This window comes from Homo sapiens, chromosome X (assembly GCF_000001405.40).
Source record: "Homo sapiens chromosome X, GRCh38.p14 Primary Assembly".
NCBI classification, from domain to species: Eukaryota; Metazoa; Chordata; class Mammalia; order Primates; family Hominidae; genus Homo; species Homo sapiens.
The window spans coordinates 13,584,685-13,604,156 of record NC_000023.11 but is presented as its reverse complement, the minus strand read 5'-3'; the positions used below and the strand labels follow the sequence as shown (position 1 = coordinate 13,604,156).

The following is a 19,472-nucleotide window of genomic DNA, read 5'->3' as shown; positions in this document are numbered from 1 at the left end:
CTGGGATCACCTCCCAAATCAACTACTTGCTCAGGGTCAGCTTCTGTGGAACCCAAAACTAAGACACAAAATAAGACAAAGGAGAACAAGAGAGGAAAGTTCTAAGCCAATGAATTTGACTAAATTCAAAGTTATAAACAAATAATTTTTATGTTCCCTTAATTAATATTATGGACTTAATCTGCTCATTTTCTCCAGTTAAATTAATTATACTTAGTTCATATAACTTGGAGCAAGTTTTAAAGACAACATGAAATTTATTACATGCTAATGTAAATTATATAGAAGGTGTATACTATTTTCAATAATGTTATATCTAAAAAATAAGTAAATATAGTTTTTCCAGAAAATATTAGCTAGAACCCAGAATAAAACCCAATGGTCCTTAGGACCTTACTCATTAAATGACAAAATATAAGTAGTGGAGTTTATATTGGATGGTAATTTAAATAAAATGTACATAGTAAATATACTAAAATTATCCCTTTTCTACTATGGCATTAAGGCAATACAAAATAATAGAAAAATGTGTTTTTTAGCATCCCAAAGTATGTTTAGAGCATATGTGGCTAAAAGTATCTCAGAAACTGATATAAATCTGTACTTTTAGAAGTTTCCAATGTCTAGTCAACAAGCTGATTGTGATGAATGAAAAAAGATTCAGTAAAAGGGGAGTCAAGGGAGGAGAAGGAGGAGTAGAGGTGATTCCTGCTGTTGTACCTAGACAGTCTCTTCCATTTGGGGCCAGGCGGAGTCCTGAGGATGGACACAGGCACTGTGGCCCTTCTTCTGTGTCTTCACAGCTGTACTGACAGTTTATCATGGCACATGTCCTAGAGTCTGAAAAAGTAGACAAGGATTAGCCTTTCTCTCTTGAGATGATAAAAAGAGCTTACTAAGAAACTATCACCAAATTCTGAGCCATTGAATGGAACACGTTGCATGGCATTATAGGACAAGTTTCATTGTCTGAGTCCCAAATGGAGAGCCAAAAGGGATCAGTAGGGGTGGCATCTTGGTGGCCCTGGGACTGAATCCTACTCATGGTCTGCTTTCTTGGCCACTTCACTGAATTTGACTGTCTTTAGGCAGAGCATGCACCCCTCAAACTGTATCACTTTCTCCACTTGTGTGTGCTCTAGCCACTCTTTTATGTCACCTGGCTGGCCTCAGTAGGTTGAATTGCAACTGCTGATGGAGATTATCAACCTGAGTAATCAGGGTAAAAGAATCTACTCTGGAGAGCTCTCCATACATATCTAGCCTCAGTGAGAGTCACTTAAGTCACAAGACTCGATATTTTAGGTGACTGAACTAAAACGTGTGGCAGATATAGCTGATCAGCTATCTGAAAGCCATTCTGGACTCTTCTCTTGCCATTCCCAGCACTGAGGCTTTTCCCAGCTTTCCTTCAGCAAGGAGTGGCCATATGATGCAGTGTGGCCAAAGAGATACAAAAATAAGTCCACTGGAGGGAGTGGGGCTTCTGGAAAAGATATTACTGCATGATAAAAAGAGACAGGCATGAAAGAGGCATTGGTTCATTGGCATCACCCGTACCCACTTAGTTTTGTCTATTTTCCATGTGTGTGTGATGTCTGGAGCTAGGGCAGCCATATTGTAACTATGAGGCCACAAGTGTGAGAGTAAAATCAATACTCTGAGGATGACAGAGATGGACTTCTTCTTGAGCTGCTCTGGAACTGCTTGCCTTCAGCTTTTAAAGTAAATGAGACAATTTACTTGGCTTTTTTGTCACTTGTTGCTAAATATAACTTATCTTACACAAATGCATTTTTATAGCAGCAGTCCAGTATGTGTGGATTAGAAATGCAGGGGGGCTAAGAAACTCATATGGTTTCAGCCCAATGTCCATAACAGAGGGGCATGGTGAATGTACTCCCTCCCTCCATCCCCCTCCAGAACGTGCCAATCACCCAGCTGGACAAAAGAGACCCAAGGGGCCTGGTGGAATCCAATCAGCATCCAGGAGAGAGTTCTAGGGCTATCTGGACACTTTGAGCTATAAACAGGGAGGCACAGGTAACCCCTAGATATACAGAAAGAGACCCAATGTATTATAACAAACATCTACCTATGATTATATTACTCCTTTATTCTTTCATCTTTTCTCTTTAGTTGTCTTCTTTTAAAATTAATCTTCAAAATTAACCTAATTCTATCTTTCCATTTGAGGAAAGATATCTTTTTTGGCACTGACTGGGTTTTCATGGAATGTTTCAGAAACATCCATTAGCGTACATCTTTTTTGAAATTTTAAGTGATTACTATAAAAGCCTGGATAGTGGTTCCCTTTAGGGAGGGGTGGGAGGAGGAGGTTCTGGCAGAGTTCTATTTGGTGATGATTACAAGGGTGCTTGCCTTATAAGAATTCATTAAACTATGCATTTGTTTCCTGTGAGTTTCTGTTTAATTTATAATAATAAGGATTTTTTAAAAAGGCCCTTCCAATGCCCATTTTCAAATGCTTGCTTGCTAGCAGAAGATCTACGTGACTGGTGGTGTTGGGACACTTTGCCAAGGAGGAGCCCGTGCACTAGGCAAGATTTTATAATCTCGGGAAAACCCAGGATGGGCTGGGGAGTCTGTGCAACTCCGCAACCACAGGAAGCTGGCTGAAGGCACAGGCTCTGGGTTTGTTGGGGGCTGCAAGGCAGAGGAAAGAAAGATGGAGAGAGAAAAGGGGAGAAGGGAAGGCAGGCAGGGAGGGTGGGTTTCCCTTTCAACTGGAACATAAAACCTGAAAAGCCTTCCCTCTCAATAAATGAATGGGTATAGACTCTCACTCTCCCACAGGACATGGGTTTTTCTTTATCACAGAAGGGCTTTTCTTTCAAGGAATTGAGTAAGTCGGAATGTATTTCCAACAAGTATCACTAATCTTTGGTAGTGGGGCAAGGGGCGTGAGAAAGTTAGCTGGTGGGAAGAATTGATGTTCCGAGAAGGAATTTAAATGTATCACTTCCCTAAAACAATCTGCTTATTTTGTTCAACGTGCTTATTTTCATGAGGAAACTCAACAGGGCTCTGCATATATATAGATGCAGATATAGATATATAATTAATTTTTCTCCTAGTTTGCCTTTTTATTTATAAAGTAAGCATCCAGAATAGGCAAATCCCTAGAGAAGGAAGGCAGATTTGTAGTTGCCAGGGGCTGGAGGAGGGGGAGTGAGGAGTGACTGGGTCTGGTTTCCTTTTGGAGTGATGAAGATCTTCTGGAACTCGATAGGGGTGATGGTTGTACAACACTGTGAATGTACTAAAAGCCACTGAATTGTTCACTTGAAATTTAAAATAATGTGAATTTCACATTATTTTACCGCTTTTTTTTTTCTTTCTGAGATTACAGGTGCCCTACCATGCCCAGCTAATTTTTGTATTTTTTTTTTTTTTTTTTAGTAGAGACAGGGTTTCGTCATGTTGGCCAGGCTGGTCTTGAACTCCTGACCTCAGGTAGTCCACCTGCCTCAGCCTCCCAAAGTGTTGGAATTACAGGTGTGAGCCACTGTGCCCAATCAGCACTTACTTTTTTAAAAAAATTATGGAAGCTGGGCATGGTGGCTCACGCCTGTAATCCCAGGACTTTGAGAGGCCGAAGTGGGTGGATCACCTGAGGTCAAGAGTTTGAGACCAGCCTGACCAACACGAAGAAACCCCATCTCTACTAAAAATACAAAAAGTAGCCAGGCGTGGTGGCATGTGCCTATAGTCCCAGCTAGTCGGGAGGCTGAGGCAGGAGAATTGCTTGAACTCAGGAGGCAGAAGTTGCAGTGAGCTCAGATTGCACCACTGCACTCCAGCCTGGGTGACAGAGCGAGACTCTGTCTCAAAAAAAAAAAAAAAAAAAAAAAAGAAGAAAGAAAGAAGGAAAGAAAGGAAGGAAAAGAAAGAAAGAAACAAGTGCCACAAAACATTTTAGCTGGGGGCAATATTAGAGATTTTTTAAAAAATCACTGAAGTCAGCTTTTCCCCAAGCATCAAATGGCAAAAGCCAAGCCTTAAACATTGACTGAGATCAGCCTGGCTGTTGAAACTTACTCACACACGTAGCATCTGGCATGAGCATGTGGCCACTGAGGCAAAAGCACTTGTAGCTTCCGTGTGTATTCACACATCTGTGTTGGCATGGCCGGGGTTTCATTCCACACTCATTCACATCTGCAGGGACATTTAGAAAACAGGGAAAGGTGAACTGAATCAGGAAACTTCCAGATGGGGAATATTAGACCCCAGTCTTGGAAAGGACAACTGGGTTAGCTTCCCTGAACACCACCACTTACCCACCTTCTCTCTGACCATCAAATTCCATTTTAAAGGATTGGTGACAATGTGTAGCAAATGGAATAATTATACACCACTGGAAGGAATGTAAATTGGTACAACACTTTGGAAAACTGCTTGGCAGAATCTACTAGAGCTATATTTAGACATACTCATGACCTGGAAATTCCAGTCCTGGGATTTCCCCTACATACTAAAATGCTCATAATAGCATGATACTAGATAGCCCCAAACTAGAAGTAATCCAAACACCTCCCAACAGAAGAATAGATAAATGACTTGTATATTCACACAATGGAATACTATATAGCAATGAAACTGAACAAACGACAACTATAGGCAACAATGGATGAATCTCACAAACATGATATTGAGTGGAAGCTGGATATAAACGTGTATATACTGTATGAGTCCATTTATATACAGTTAAAAAATAAGCACAGCTAATCTGTGATATAAGAGGTCAACATATGGTTCTCTCACTGGCAGTGGAAGTGACTGGAAGGTGTGTGAGGGAGTCTTCTGAAGGGCCAAGTTTCTGGCTTTTGATCTAGATACTAGTGACATGGGCATTTAGAAAAATTCATCGAGCCATACATTTTTTATATATGCACAATTCTATGTGTATACTACTTGAACAATAATTTAGAAATAGATAATTTATATATTTCTGCCTTTCATGCTATCCCAAGCAGCCGCTGACATAAGCTGACAGCACAGCCTCCTGTCGATTATTATTTTGGCTGGCCCCTGCACTGGCCAAATTGCCTTGGCTCACATTCCTCTAGAGGGAGCCCTGTCAGACAGCTCTTAGTGGTGAAGTTGGAGGACAATATTTAATCCTAAGTAAAGATGTTCACAGGATGACATTTGGGCTGGATGATTTAAAAAAATATATATATATATATGAATTATATATATGTGAATTATATATATGAAATATATATATGAATTATATATATGTGAATTATATATATGAAATATATATGAATTATATATGTGAATTATATATATGAAATATATATATGAATTATATATATGTGAATTATATATATATGAAATATATACATATGACGTTCACAGGATGTTACGTGATAAAAGAAGGTTACAAAACTCTGTGTACAGATCATTCCAAAATTGGTTTAAAAAATACATAGGAAAAGAAAAGCCTAGGAGGGTATGCTCTAAATGCGACTAATGGTTATCTTCAGGTGGTAAGATCGAGGGTGACTTTCTTCTCTGTGCTTTTTTGTTTTCTAAAACAACAACAACAACAACAACAACAACAACAACTTAAGAATAAGTAACATTTTTATTAAAATAAAAAATGACACAGAAGGAAAATAGAACTTTAAAAAGGATTATCTGTAGAGGATGTCGCCTTTGGAAATGTGGTCATGTGAGGGTTTCATATCTTAACTCTACCAGGGAACATACAGAGAGGAAAAAAACAAACAAATTCCATGGAAGGCAAAAGGTCAGCATGGTAACAGATTCTTGAAAATAAGGAGCTGCTTTCATCTCTGAAAATATCCTTATATGGGGATTTTCCAGTGCCCTAGCTGGACATTTGAAACCCTCTTCTCCACTGCCTATCCCCTTTACCCTACCATCTCCCTCATAGAACCTAACCTCTTCAAATGGGGAAATTGAAAAATGCTGATTGGACATAACGGGAAACCCAGGAATATCCCATAGCTTGGCCCTAACTCTGAGGTGACTCACTCATTTCTTGGAAGAGTGTTTTGGGAAAGACATGAGTTGAGGGCTGAGGCCTGTCACCATTAATGGATGTACGTGGACTTTGATCAGGCTGCCACAGGGCAGGGAGGCTGTGGGAAGAAAACAGACTGCCTCAAAACTTGATCCAACTGGACCACTCCCTCAACGTTAATATTTTGCTGAGACTTTAAAACTAGCGTGGAAAATATTGTCTCTATTCCAAATCTCTTGAGACAGTATCTTGGTTCAGAATCCAAAACATATGGAAAACCAAGTTTTCTGCTGTAAAACCTCTGGTGAAGGGTATAGCTGAATTATTACTTATGAAAGCATGATTTTTTTTTCTGAGATGGAGTCTCGCTCTGTTGCCCAGGCTGCAGTGCAGTGGCGCGATCTCAGCTCACTGCAACCTCCACCTCCCAGGTTCATGTGATTCTCCTGCCTCAGCCTCCCGAGTAGCTAGGATTACAGGCATTCGCCACCACGCCTGGCTAATTTTTGTATTTTTAGTAGAGATGGGGTTTTGCCATGTTGGCCAGGCTGGTCTCAAACTCTTGACCTCAAGTGATCCACCCACCTCGACCTCCCTAAGTGCCGGAATTACAGGTGTGAGCCACTGTGCCCACCCTGAATGCACGATTCTTGAAGCACCTCTCTCAAGCAATTGCATGCAATTCTAAGAAACATCTCCAGGGCTCTGGCCTCTATGCTGGTGGCAGGACGCAGAGAGCCAGATTGCTCTCCGAGACTGTAGGGCTGGCAGCTCAAAGAGCGGCTATTTCAGTTTATGGGGCTAACCTCTGGGCTTGGCAGCAAGGGCTGGGAGTGGTAGAGTGGAGTGGGTGTCCAGTCTTCTCTGAAACTCCATTCTCCAAGGGCAGCTGAATTGGATTTACTGCTCTTTGTTCAACTTCCTTATAGGACTGGGGACCCTTTCTGAATTATTGAAGATTTCTTCATGCCAGGGTTTCTTAACTTCCGTTGACACAAATCATTATTTGTTGTGGGGACTGTCCTGTGCACTGCAGGATGTTTAGCGGCATCCCTGGGCTCCATTCACTAGATGCCGGGAGTACCTCCCACATCCAGTTATGACAACCAAAATTGTCCCCAGTCATTGTCAAGTATCCTGTGGATGACAAAATCAGCCAAGTTGAAATCTGCTGATCTATAGCAAAGACCATATCCCTTGCTCCAATGAGGCACTTTTATTCACCACGTTTACAGCAGGGTTTTTCAGCCTTGGCACTACTGACATTTGGGTCTGATCATTCTTTGTTGTGGGTGCTGCTATCCTGTGCATTGTGTAAGGTGCTTTGCAGCATCCCTGATCTCTACCCATTAGACACCAGTAGCACCCCCTCCAAATGTCCTCAGACACTGCCAGATGTTGCCCGGGATAAGGCTCCCAGATTTGGCAAATAAAAATACAAGATTCCAGCTGGGTGTGGTGGTGTGTGCCTGTAGTCAGGAGTCTGAGGCGAGAGGATTGCTTTGAGGCCAGGAGATCATGGATGCAGTATAGTCACTGCACTCCAGCCTAGGCAACATAGTGAGACCCCCATCTCTAAACAAAACAGTAAAGGATTCTCAGATAAATTTGAATGTCAGATAAATGACTAATACTTTTAAAGTATACACACTTCTCATATACTATTTTGAGAGCTTGTTTGGAGGTGCTAGCAGGGGAGCACAGCTAATATACCCTTGACTGAAGGTAAGTCCTCCTCTATCGGGGATGGTCGTCCTCTCCACACGAGCGCGCAGCTTCAGGAGGGACACACATGGAGCAGTGAGGGAGGAAGGGGACATCTGCCTAGCCAGCCAGATCAGCCAAATCAACCCAGGTGAGCAATGGGGTGACAGATGTCACAGCCAGATCACCCTCACATCCCCTATATACTATTTTGAACAAACATATACTATAAAATTATTTGTTGTTTATCTGAAATTTAAATCTAACTTGGTATCTGTATTTTATCTGGCAACGCTTCCTGGGAGACAAAATTACCCAGGTTGAGAACCACTGTTATAGATATTATCATCTCTTTAATGTTTTCAGACAAACAATCTAGGATGAAAGTTATAAATTATCTGTTATGATATATCAAGGCCAGGTGTGGTGGCTAAGCCTTTAATTCCAGCACTTTGGGAGGGCAAGGCGGGAGGATGGCTTGAGCCCAGGAGTTCAAGACCAGCCTGGGCAACGTAGTGGGACCTCGTCTATACAAAAACTGTAAAAAGTAGCCAGGCATGGTGGTGTGTGCCTGTGGTCCCTGCTACTCAGAAGGCTGAGATGGGAGGATTGCTAGAGCCCAGGTGGCTGAGGCTGCAGTGAGCCATGATCACGCCACTGCACTCTACCCTGGGTGACAGAGCGAGACTCTGTCTCAAAAAAAAAAAAAAAGTATATGAAGTATAATAAAAATATGCACGTTGTTCAACCCAACAATTCCACTTTTAAATATTTTTCCTACAAAAATATTCATTCAAGAAAGCAGGGCTATGCAGAGAACAATGTTAGATTTAGCACTGTTTGTAATGGCAAAAAATTGGAGACAACATAAATGATAATGGTTAAATAAAGCACATTTTTGCACAAAGGATAAAAGTATTCACACTAGGGACTAGGATACAGCCTTAAAAAATGTAAAGTAGTTCTGTGTGTGCTGACATGCAAAGATGCCTATGAGAAAAACTTACATTTATACTATCACAGAAAAAGACTTCCAGGATCTAAGACAAACTTAACTATGCTTATAGTAAAAACTAGTGGTGATCACTCTCACTTTTAAGTTTATATTTTTTTGCACTGCTGGATTTTTAAAAATAAAAATATACTTATAATACATAGGTAGTTTAAAAAGCAATAAAATTATTTACTTTTTAAAAAGGCTCTTTTTTTCTGTGTTACGGAAAGAGATGAAATAAAAAAGTAAAAAATATAAAAGACCTTTAGCTTATTTAAAAAAGATAAAAAAAGAAAAGAAAAGAAAAAAGGCCTTTTATTGGGCATCTTGACAAAAACATCAGACTTTTTACATTTTTCAAGGAGAAGAGATTGAAAAACTTGTCCTGAAAGCACCTTCATTTGAAGATTTGACTTTAAAAAAACCCTAAGAAATCCTGCGTACCATATTGAGTCGCCAGCCCTGCTGCAATGATTGAATTTGAACTATGACCCTGGGCTACCTTACTGACCTTGACTGCAGGTTTTCCCGGTGTATCCTGGAAAGCATCTGCATTTGTTTGGTCCCACGCACTCACCAAACTTACATCCAGGTTCGCATGTAGCTGTGGAAGGAAAAGATGTCTTGATGATAAAAGAACAGTAGTTAGTGTAGTGAAATGCACGCAAAACTTCGCTGCGTTCTGTGTGGCAGAGAACTCCATGGGGACATACAGAGGACAATCTGCCTCCCTTTGAAGGGAGGCAATACCACACTTCCAGTGGTATTCAATGAAATATAAAGCCTTCCAGACCACAGTCAGCCAGTTTTGCATGCAAACACAAAAGATTTAATAAAATAAGTATAATGTTGGAACTGGAAGAGACTCCAGAGTAACCCTGGGCAAATGCCAACGTCATTCCCCTTCCTTCTGTCTCTTGCCTCGTTTCATCTCCTCCATATTTTCTCCATTTCTCTTTTAAATGATCAAAATCTTTTAATGCTGCACATTATCAGTCAGACTGAACAACCAACAGATTGGAGGGAGGAAGGTGCTGCTTCTAGCCCTAAGGATGGGAACTAAAAGCATCATGATGATGATGAGGATGATGATGGAGGCATGAGAAAGCATGACAAAGGTAGGATTTGTTTTTCTATTTTATTCACTTCTGTATCCCAACTCCTGACACAAAGTAGACAATAAATATTTGTTCAATGAATAAAGTGGTAGGAAAAACAACAGGGGTAGGATGTTATAACCGATTCAGTTGGGGGCAAGAAAACAAACAGTCAAAGATGATGGACAATTTCATTCCAGCTCACAGGGAGGTTATAAGGAGAAAAAGCAGTAGATAGGAAAAAAGGAAAATGGGAAAGCCTCAAGAGTAGAAAGGGAGAGGATATAATATATGAGAGAGAAAGGAGACTTTTAGGGTATCAAGGACTCTCAGCAGTTTCTGGATATAGTAGGAGCTCAAGAAATAGCCATAATAGGAAAGAATGACTCAGCAATTGCCCAGGAATGGTGCCTACTTCTCCATCCATCAATTCCCCTGGCTCACAGTAGGTCCACCTCTAAGAAAGCCTATTCTTAAAGATACCAGCATCTTTCCCTACAACCCCAGATCCTATTTTTTGTTATTATCATCATTCCTCTACCAGTTACCTGGACTCAAAAAATTCAGTTGTCTATTTTTTCTTGTCTCCAGACCACTCAGTTGCAACATCCTATCCCTGTTTCTACCACCAACTCATTCATTGAACAACTATCTATCTAGCTAATGGGAACTACCTTGCCCACAGATACTTGGAAGATGATGCTGAATCCCTCTCCCTGCTTTCCCCACCACAGCTTGTGACCAGTGCCTCACTGATGCAGGAGTCTAACAGCCTAGTTCCTTGTTTCTTGGCAGGACAAACTCTGGTGCAATTAACCCCCTAGAGGTCCCTGTGGGATCAGGCTGAAGCTAGACTTCTTCTGAAACCATATCTCTGCCTAGCCGCTTCCCATGCTCCCTCACTCCCTTGCAAATTGCTCGTAAGATACCTTTCAATGGAATATTTGTACAAGAATCCCCCTTTCAGGCTCTGCTCCTAGCAAACTTTATGTCAGACACGACATTAAACTAATAGTCCAAAAGCATAGCTCTGATCATGCCACGCCTTGCACAGAGGTCATAATATAATCTTTGTTCCCTCCTGAATACAGTACAGGTATCATAACCAAGTTAAAACTAGCATGATCTGGCCAGGCATGGTGGCTCCAGCCTGTAATCCCAGCACTTTGGGAGGCCGAGGAGGGTGGATCACCTGAGGTCAGGAGTTTGAGACCAGCCCGGCCAACATAGTAAAACCACATCTCTACTAAAAATACAAAAATTAGCCAGGCGTGGTGGCGGGCACCTGTAATCCTAGCTACTTGGGAGACTGAGGCAGGAGAATCACTTGAACACAGGAGGCAGAAGTTGCAGTGAGCTGAGATTGCGCTGCTGCACTCCAGCCTGGGTGACAAAGCAAGACTCTGTCAAAAAAAAAAAAAAAAAGAAAGAACCTAGCCTGATCTGGCCTCCCCCTTCTTTTCTAGCCCCCCCACCCCCCCGACAAAGGCAACACTGTGGGCAAAAGATATTGCTTGCTATTCTCTAGACCTACCCTTTACTTTCTACCTTTTCCTACCCCTCCCTAGGATACTCTTCCCTGGGTTTCCAGTAGTTCATATCCTCCCCATTCTTCAAGGACCACCTTGCATGGCCCCTTCTTCTAAAAGCCTTTACAGATTTCTCCAGCCACCTATGAATGCCCACTCAACTTCGAGAACTCCACAGAACTTTGGCAGGCCTCTCCTGTGCAACTGATCAGTTTTTGTCTTATTAAATAATGAGGCATATATTTGGCTACAGTGCTTGTCTTTCATCCACTACTTGTTTCCAAGTGCCTTCAGGACAGGGACTTAAACATTCATCATTGTTTCCCCTGTAGCATTTAATATAGTGTTGTAAACATGTTAAATATTTGAATATTTTTGAATAATGAATAAAGTAATTACTGTAGAACTTTTAATGGGGGAACATTTTATGGCCCTGAACAAATCATAAGGGAAAAATGCTTCCCCAGCAAGGTTTTTCCACTTTTAGAGACAAAAGAGAGAGAATTTAATTTCCAGTGTCTACTTTGTTATGGATATGTACTTGGAGTTGCAACTTTAAATTCAGATGTTAGAAAAATAAATCTTTTTTTTTTTTTTTAAGCCCTGAAGACCTCTAGTTGTTCCCTGGAAACTGATTTCCAATGTGGTCCAGACAGGAAAGCCCAGCATAAATGCCAAATAGAACATAGGAGAAATGGTGAATAATACCCTTGCTATAAGGTTAAAGCTTCAGTAAGATGTTTTCAATTTACAGTAACTTTGGATCTGTGACTTCAACAGCCAATCGACAGCAAGGGAAATTCAGTTTGTGTTTAAAATGGCCTGAGATTGAAGCATGATTTAGACAAAGTAAAAGTCTTATTTGGTTCTCCCCCAAACTTCTCTATCTGAAGCTTTTCATCAGGTACTTGTTTATGGACAATTCTGTATTTCATCTCACTGAAGTGGCATACATTTTAAGGTTAATGATATCGAACTGATGAGACCCTGCCTTGGGAGGAGATTTAGACAGGGTAGAGGCTGAGAGCTAGAAGGCTCCAGGATACATAGAGGCAGGGCTTCAAAAGGAGTGAAGGGCAAATAGATGGACAGAGGGGAAGGCCTGGGTAGACTGTGACCTCACAGCCTGGGGTCTGGCTCTCCTTGTTGGGGCAGGTTGATGTGTATTCTTATTATCATGCATCCCACAACTCTGGCTTAGAAATCAGAAACCCAGCAATCAGGGAATAACTACCCTGTTATTTGGTGCTTCAAGAAACATGACTTTACCATCAAGAAGGACCATGCAAATTGGATAAAACATGATACACATTTTAGATCTAAAAATCATTGCAATTTAAGACCTGAACATTTGACTGGAGCAGTAGGTGTGCTGACCGTCTCTTCAGCTTGCAAAACTTGCATAGTGAGCATTTTGCTTGAACCCCCTGCACTTGCCCTTTTAACACCTTGCCTTCATTTATTCACCAGCGACATGCTGGGTCTCACAAGTTTTATGGCAGTAGACGCTGATGTTCGTGCAACTGTAAGAGAGACTCTAAATCATGTGTTTCACGTGGTTTTTGCCCCTTTCCACCTGACTGACTTCAAATAAAAATGTGTTATGTTGTGTCTAGCAAAAGAATAAAGCCACATTTAATCCCCCCATCACCTGGTGCTTTAATGACGAGAAGTCTGTGATGAGAATTATTGGTCCTTCCTGAAGGAATGGTAATTTATGAGGTATTTTCTATGCATGCCAGGTAATGAACTCACCCTTTAATGCATACATTCCTTACTCTCAGAGGTAGGTATTGCTCTCTCCAGGTTGCAGAGGAGGAAATTGAGCCTTAGCTAGCTTACCTTAGCTAGCTTGCCCAAGGTCACCCACGTCAGTCTGGTTCTCAATGCCCTTGATCATGACACTATCAATCCAATCAGGATGAGGACCCACCCTTTTAATTGACACAAGTCCCAGGAGGATATTCTAACTTCCTTTATCTAAGTGGGCAATGATGATCTTTGTTTTTGTCTAGTATTTTTATGCTCTTGTCATCTTGTCACAAGCAAACTATGATGGCAGAAGGTTTTGCATAATATGGAACATGTGGGAACGATATCAATGTTTTCTATTGTTTTATAGATTTTGGATATTATCAAGTTCTGACCCCACTTATGGTCAATCCAGATATTTTTTAACCAGCCAGAGAGAAGGAGGTTGGGGCAGGAACAGACTAGCAAAAAGAAGGTAGCATTGTTATTCCTAAAAATAGCTAACATGTTAGTGCTTTTATGGGACCTGCAACTGTGTTGTTATCCCATTTAATAGATAAATAACTTAGGATGAGGCACATGCTACCTACTGAAGGACACAGGGACAGTGAGAGTAGACTACTGCCCTGAAGGAATACACCCCTGGTGAGACAGTCAGGAGGAATGTGGATTTGGTTCTGCTACACTGCCAGTGTTGGTCGTTATGGAAAGTCATAAAAAGAAAAACAAGGCAAAAACTTTATGCTCATCTCTGCCCTTCCCAACCTCCTTGAAATGATCAGAGGCCTCTCTCGGAGTTCCTAACACATAGTCTGAGAAACAATGTCCAAGGCAAATTATGGTTCCTTGGTTTGCAATGTACAAAAAAATCAGCAAAATACTTAAAATCTTTGCATATATGCATATGTACCTTGAAAGCATTTAGAAATTGGCAGTATGAATTTTAAAAATGTGAGTTACAAATCTATAAGCTAAAAGGTGTACTTATTTTGTGGCTGAAGCCTACTGGTTGGGTGATTAATAATTAAAGTTTATTGCATTGGAAATCACTTAAATTATAATTAGAGGAGAAATTTACCAGCCTGCTTTTGCCCATCTTAGTTCCTTTAGATTAAAAAGAAAACCAAAAACAAACAACCCAGTCATACTCATTAAGATAATCACAAAAATAATTGACAAGACAGTCTTCTAAAATAAATCATGCCAAGTATGATGGCGTCAGCCACATTTTGTCTGGGAAGAGATCTCATAGGAACCCAGACCTTGGTTATTGGTAGTTATGCATGTCCTTGCCTGAGAGATCCACTGGCAATTTTGTGGCAGTTCATGGTATGACAGATAAAAACCTAAGGGCCCTGATCCAAGTGCAGGGTCTGAGTTTTTACAAAATTACCTTCACAGACTCCCTTGCTGTTTCTTCTCCAGCCGTAGCAGCAGGCCAGTTTAGTTCCATAGTGACAGACCCCAGGCTGACGTGCCGATGCTAACAACCCGTGATGCCTTGCACTGCAGATAAAGAACTACATGTTAGTATTGAGAAAATAGAAAAGACAACAGAAACTCTTCCCTACTACTAAAAGAACCAGAGATGTCAATTACCTGGTTAATTTCAACGAACCCGCAGTAAGTGCTAAATTAGATTTTGAAAACCTGAATTTTGGGGTTGCCAGCCTTCCTCAATAATTAGTTTCAACCATTTCCTTCTTCCCCACGGTTAAAAGAATCTATAAAACTAGGGCACATGAAGATGTCCAAAGTATATGTTTTTGAACCTTGTAGAGTGTCACTTTTCAGATCTGCTCTGTATACGCACAGCAACTATCCAGTTCTTTGTCTATTTCAGTCACTTTCTAATCCTGTGGCTTTGTCCCAGACCAGAGCTCTGCACTTTTATCCCACTGGCACCTGGGAACCATTGAATAGACTGGAATCAACATACACTATAGATGATTAAGAGTTGGAAGGGCTCGTTCAGCAAAGCCCTCTTATGTTACAGAGGAGGAAACTCCAGTCCAATGGAGTGGAGTCACATCCCCAGCAGAGCTGGGTGTTGGGAATTCTAGCCCAGGGCTCGTTCCCATTGACCTCCTGGAAACCCAATTTGCTAAACTGCTTAATTTTAGAGCAGAGATCGGCAAACATTTTCTGTAAAAAGCCAGATGGTAAGTATTTTAGGCTTTGTAGGGCCATAAGATATCTGTCCAAGTACAAAAGCAGCCATAGGCAATAGTAAACAGATGCGCATGACTGTGTTCCAATAAAACTTTATTTATGGACACTGTAATTTGAATAGCATATAATTTTCCTGTGTCATGATATGGTATTCTCCTTTTGCTCCATCTTCTAACATTTAAAAATGTAAAAACTGTTCTTCGCTCATGGGCTGTTTATAAAGAGGGGATCACCTAGCTTTGGCCAGCAGGCTGTAGCTTGCCTGATCTAGATGCCTGAAAAAGGTGAGCCCCCTGTCCCCCACCAAGTGCCCCCAAGTAGTGCCGCCATGGATGAAGCTCACTGCATGTTTACCTACTTACTGTCCTGGTATTGGACAGGGTTGCTACCAGACTTTGAAGGAAAATACTTGCATTGTATGTTTAGTGGAGGGCTGTGATTATTTCCTTACACATATTAAATACACTGTAAAAATGTTTCCTGGGCTCTTTAACAGACAAAGGAATGCACATTTTACCATGTGCTTTCTGCTACAGAACTGAACTTCATGCAAGTTAATAATATCTAAGTCAAGGTCGGGAAGTTAAACAACCTTGTAGATTTCCCTCAAGATCTGCCTCTCCCACAAATGTGATTACTCAGTTAAGAGCTATAAAGATATGGTCTGAGACATTTCATTTACTGAGAGCACCAAATGGGAGGATGATTTTAACATTTACTTTTTCTTGAAGAGAACTTTTTTTCATTTTTTAATGGAATTAATTTTAGGGATTCATAAGTCACTCAAACATTTAGAATAGGGTTTCTCAACTTCTACACAACTGATATTTTGGGCCAGATCATTGTTTGTTGTTGGGAGGTGTCCTGTGCATTGTAGGATATTTAACAATGGTCTTTATCTACAGTTGCCAGTAGCACACACCCCTCTAGTTCTGACAAACGAAAATGTCTCCAGACATTGCCAAATGTCCCCTGGAAGGTAAACTTTTCTTTCATTAAGTAGTAGTACTTTAAAGCAAAACATTTATTGTGCATTTGCTATGTACCAAGTACTGTCTCAGGCACATAGAGTACAGTGACGAAAAGGGCCTGGTCTTTGCTCTCTTAAGTTCACAGTCTATTGGAAACATATGCATTCAAGTATAGGATAGCATGCTAAATATTATTAAAATGCTCTGCTAAAGAGTTTTGACTGAGAAATAATGCAGCCATGTGTCTAATCTAATTTGTATATTCCTAACAATTCTGCAAGGGATACCACAATCTTGACCCAGTCTGCGCCTAACAGTTTCCAAAGAACCTATGATAAACTCCAATATTCTGTAGCACAGCAGGGTGACTACAGTTAGCAACAATGTATTGTAAATTTCCAGGTAGCTAGAAGAGAGGATGTCAAATATTACCAACACATAGAAATGGTAAATACTCAAGGTATTTGAGTATTTGATGGGTACCCCAAGTACAACTGGATCATGATATAGTCTATGCATGTAACACTCACATGTACCCCATAAATATGTAAAATATTTTGTATCAGTAAAAAAGAAGAAACTATGGGCAACTAACCATAAAGTATGCTGAGTAAATAAGTGCCAGTCCAAATACAGTGATGTCCTTAATAATTTTTTTACTTTAGTATTTTAAAAATTGAGATATAATTTACATAACGTAAAATTCACCCTCTTAAAGTATACACTTCAGTGGTTTTTAGTATTTTCACTATGTTATGCACTCATCACTTCTATTTAGTTCCAGAATATTTCCATCACCCCAAAAATAAACCCTATACCTATGAGCAGTTCATCTTAACTAACTTCTCCCTTCATCTCCTGGCAACCACAAATCTGCTTTTTGTCTCTGGATTTGCCTGTTCTGGATATTTCATATAAATGGAATCCCACAATATGTAGCCTTCCGTATCTGGCTTCTTTAACTTAGTATGTTTTCAAGTTTGATCCATGTTGTAGCTTGTAACAGTACTGTATTTCTTTTTATTGCTGAATAATATTCCATAATATGGATATACCACATTTTATTTATCCACTCATCAGTTGATAGACATTTAAGTTGTTTCTACATTTTGGTCATCATGAATAATGTTGCTATGAACATTGGTGCACAAGTTTTTGTGTGGACATATGTTTTAATTTCTCTTGGGTATATACACAGGAGTGGAATTGTTGGGTCATATGGTGCAATGGACAGAATGTTTGTGTCCTCCAAAATTCATATATTGAAACCCTAATCCCAATGTGATGGTATTTGGTGGTGGGGTCTTTGGGAGGTAATTAGGTCATGGGGTTGGAGCCTTTATGAATGGGATTAGTGCCCTAATAAGAAAAGGCTAGAGAGCTTGAGAAGTCGGCAGCCTGCAACCCAAGAGTGCCCTCACCAGAACCTGACCATGCTGACACCCTAGTCTTGGAATTCCAGCCTTCAGAATGGTGAGAAATACATTTCTATTGTTTATAAGCCACCCAACCTATGGTAATTTGTTATAGCAGCCTGAACTGACTAAGACATATTATAGTTGTATATTTAACTTTCTGAAGAACTGCCCGACTGTTTTCCAACATGGCTATATCATTTTACTTTCCCATCAGCAATATATGAGAGTTCCAATTTCTCCACATCCTCACCAGCACTTGTTATTGTTCATTTTTAAAAACTCTAGACATCCTAATGCTTGAGAAGTAGCATCTTGTTTTGATGTGCATTTCTCTATTAAGTGTCTTTCATGTGTTTATAGACCATTTGTATATCTTCTTTGGATAAATGTCTATTCAGGTCCTTTGCCCATTTTTTAACTGGGTTATTTGTTTTGATGTTTTTAAGATTTGAAAACAAGATTGAAATTTGTTGGTAAAAACAACTATCCCCATACCTTGGTGAAAAACCCCTTCCACATAGATAAACAGTAAGTCCATTTCTTAACCATACACATCTGTGAGAAACCTTGACAAAGTACTACAATCTGCTTTTACCTCTTCCTTTAACAACATGAAGCTGATGCCTGGGGGAGCAGAATGGAGAGAGGAACTAACCTTGCTTGGGAAAGAGGAGGAAAATGTCACAGGGTAGGTGACATTTGAGTTGGATTTCAAAAGAAAACATGATGAAAGAAAAGCTGTATGGGGGAAATTCTGCCTTTGGAATTTTAATTTCATATTTTTATAAGAAATGTGGGATTCATTTAATTAGAATTCAATCTAGCAACAAAATCTTAGAGATGATCTGTCAACTTCTTGACTGCAGGTTTGCAAGCAATATGCTCCCCAATCACAATAGGAAGGACCTTACCTATTTCCTGATGCCAAAAAAAAAATCAGTATAATCCTCAATAGGGCATTAATATGTATGGACTATAGTGCTAGGTGCTGAGGATACACTTATAATCCTGGCATAGAGGGTCCCCTACTCATGAGCTTTTAGACAAGGGGTTCAGGGTAACAGAGGCACTCAATATATTCAGTCTATTACAGAAGCTTAAATCAAAGAAACATAATCCAGTCTAAAGGGTCCCAGATGTTCCCTTTGAAGGTGCAAACTTTAAATTAGACTTAAGACAAACAGGGTTCAACCACATAAAGTGAAAGAATATTAGAGGCAAAGGGAATAGAATGAGTGCAGACTAAGAGGTAAAAGACACCATGCTTGTGCTTGAGGAATGAGTAGATGACCAGAGGATTACAACAAAGGGAGGGAGGAGTCAGCTTGTGAGAGATGAGCCCCGAGAGGTTGGCAGAGGCTACATCACAGAGGGTCTTGTGAATCAAGTTAGGGCTTTGGGTTTTACATCTTAATGGCAATAGAACAGCACTGAAGGGTTTTAAGTAGGAATGTTATTTGATAAGGTTTTTCTCTTGAAAAACAGTACCACGAAAGCAGTCTGGAAGATAGATTGGAGGGAGACAGAATGGAAGAAAAGATACCAGTTGGCTCAGAAGATAGATTCTGGTTGCTTGGACTGGAGCAGAAGCAGTGGAGGTAAGGAGAAATGAATGGCATCAAAGTGGGACCAAAAGATTTGGTAATGGATTAGAGTGATTCATTCATTCATTCATTCAACAAGTATTTATTGAGTGCCTATAATGTATCAGACACTGGGCTAGTTTCCAGAAGTTCATCAGCAACCAAAAGGGAAATAAGATTTCTGTCCTCATGGAGCTTATATCCTAGTCGATTGGATATAGAGCGTCAGAGGG

At 40.3% G+C, this 19,472-nt stretch overlaps 1 protein-coding gene, 1 non-coding gene and 1 pseudogene across 3 annotated transcripts in view; all 3 read right to left on the bottom strand.

Moving 5' to 3' along the window:
• Positions 1-19,472, bottom strand: part of EGFL6 (EGF like domain multiple 6) — a 63,975-nt gene that overhangs the window by 29,419 nt on the left and 15,084 nt on the right. For both annotated transcript variants that reach the window (NM_001167890.2, NM_015507.4), the window contains exons 2-5: positions 14,489-14,601; positions 9,229-9,321; positions 4,063-4,182; positions 721-840 (exon numbers count right to left, since the gene is read on the bottom strand). In NM_001167890.2, the coding sequence (NP_001161362.1) occupies positions 721-840; positions 4,063-4,182; positions 9,229-9,321; positions 14,489-14,601 (446 nt within the window). The remainder of the gene's footprint in view (positions 1-720; positions 841-4,062; positions 4,183-9,228; positions 9,322-14,488; positions 14,602-19,472) is intronic.
• RN7SKP20 (RN7SK pseudogene 20) lies at positions 7,686-7,921 on the bottom strand (annotated as a pseudogene).
• MIR6086 (microRNA 6086) lies at positions 13,811-13,865 on the bottom strand. The gene has a single exon (NR_106734.1). It is a non-coding gene; the product is annotated as a microRNA 6086 (primary transcript).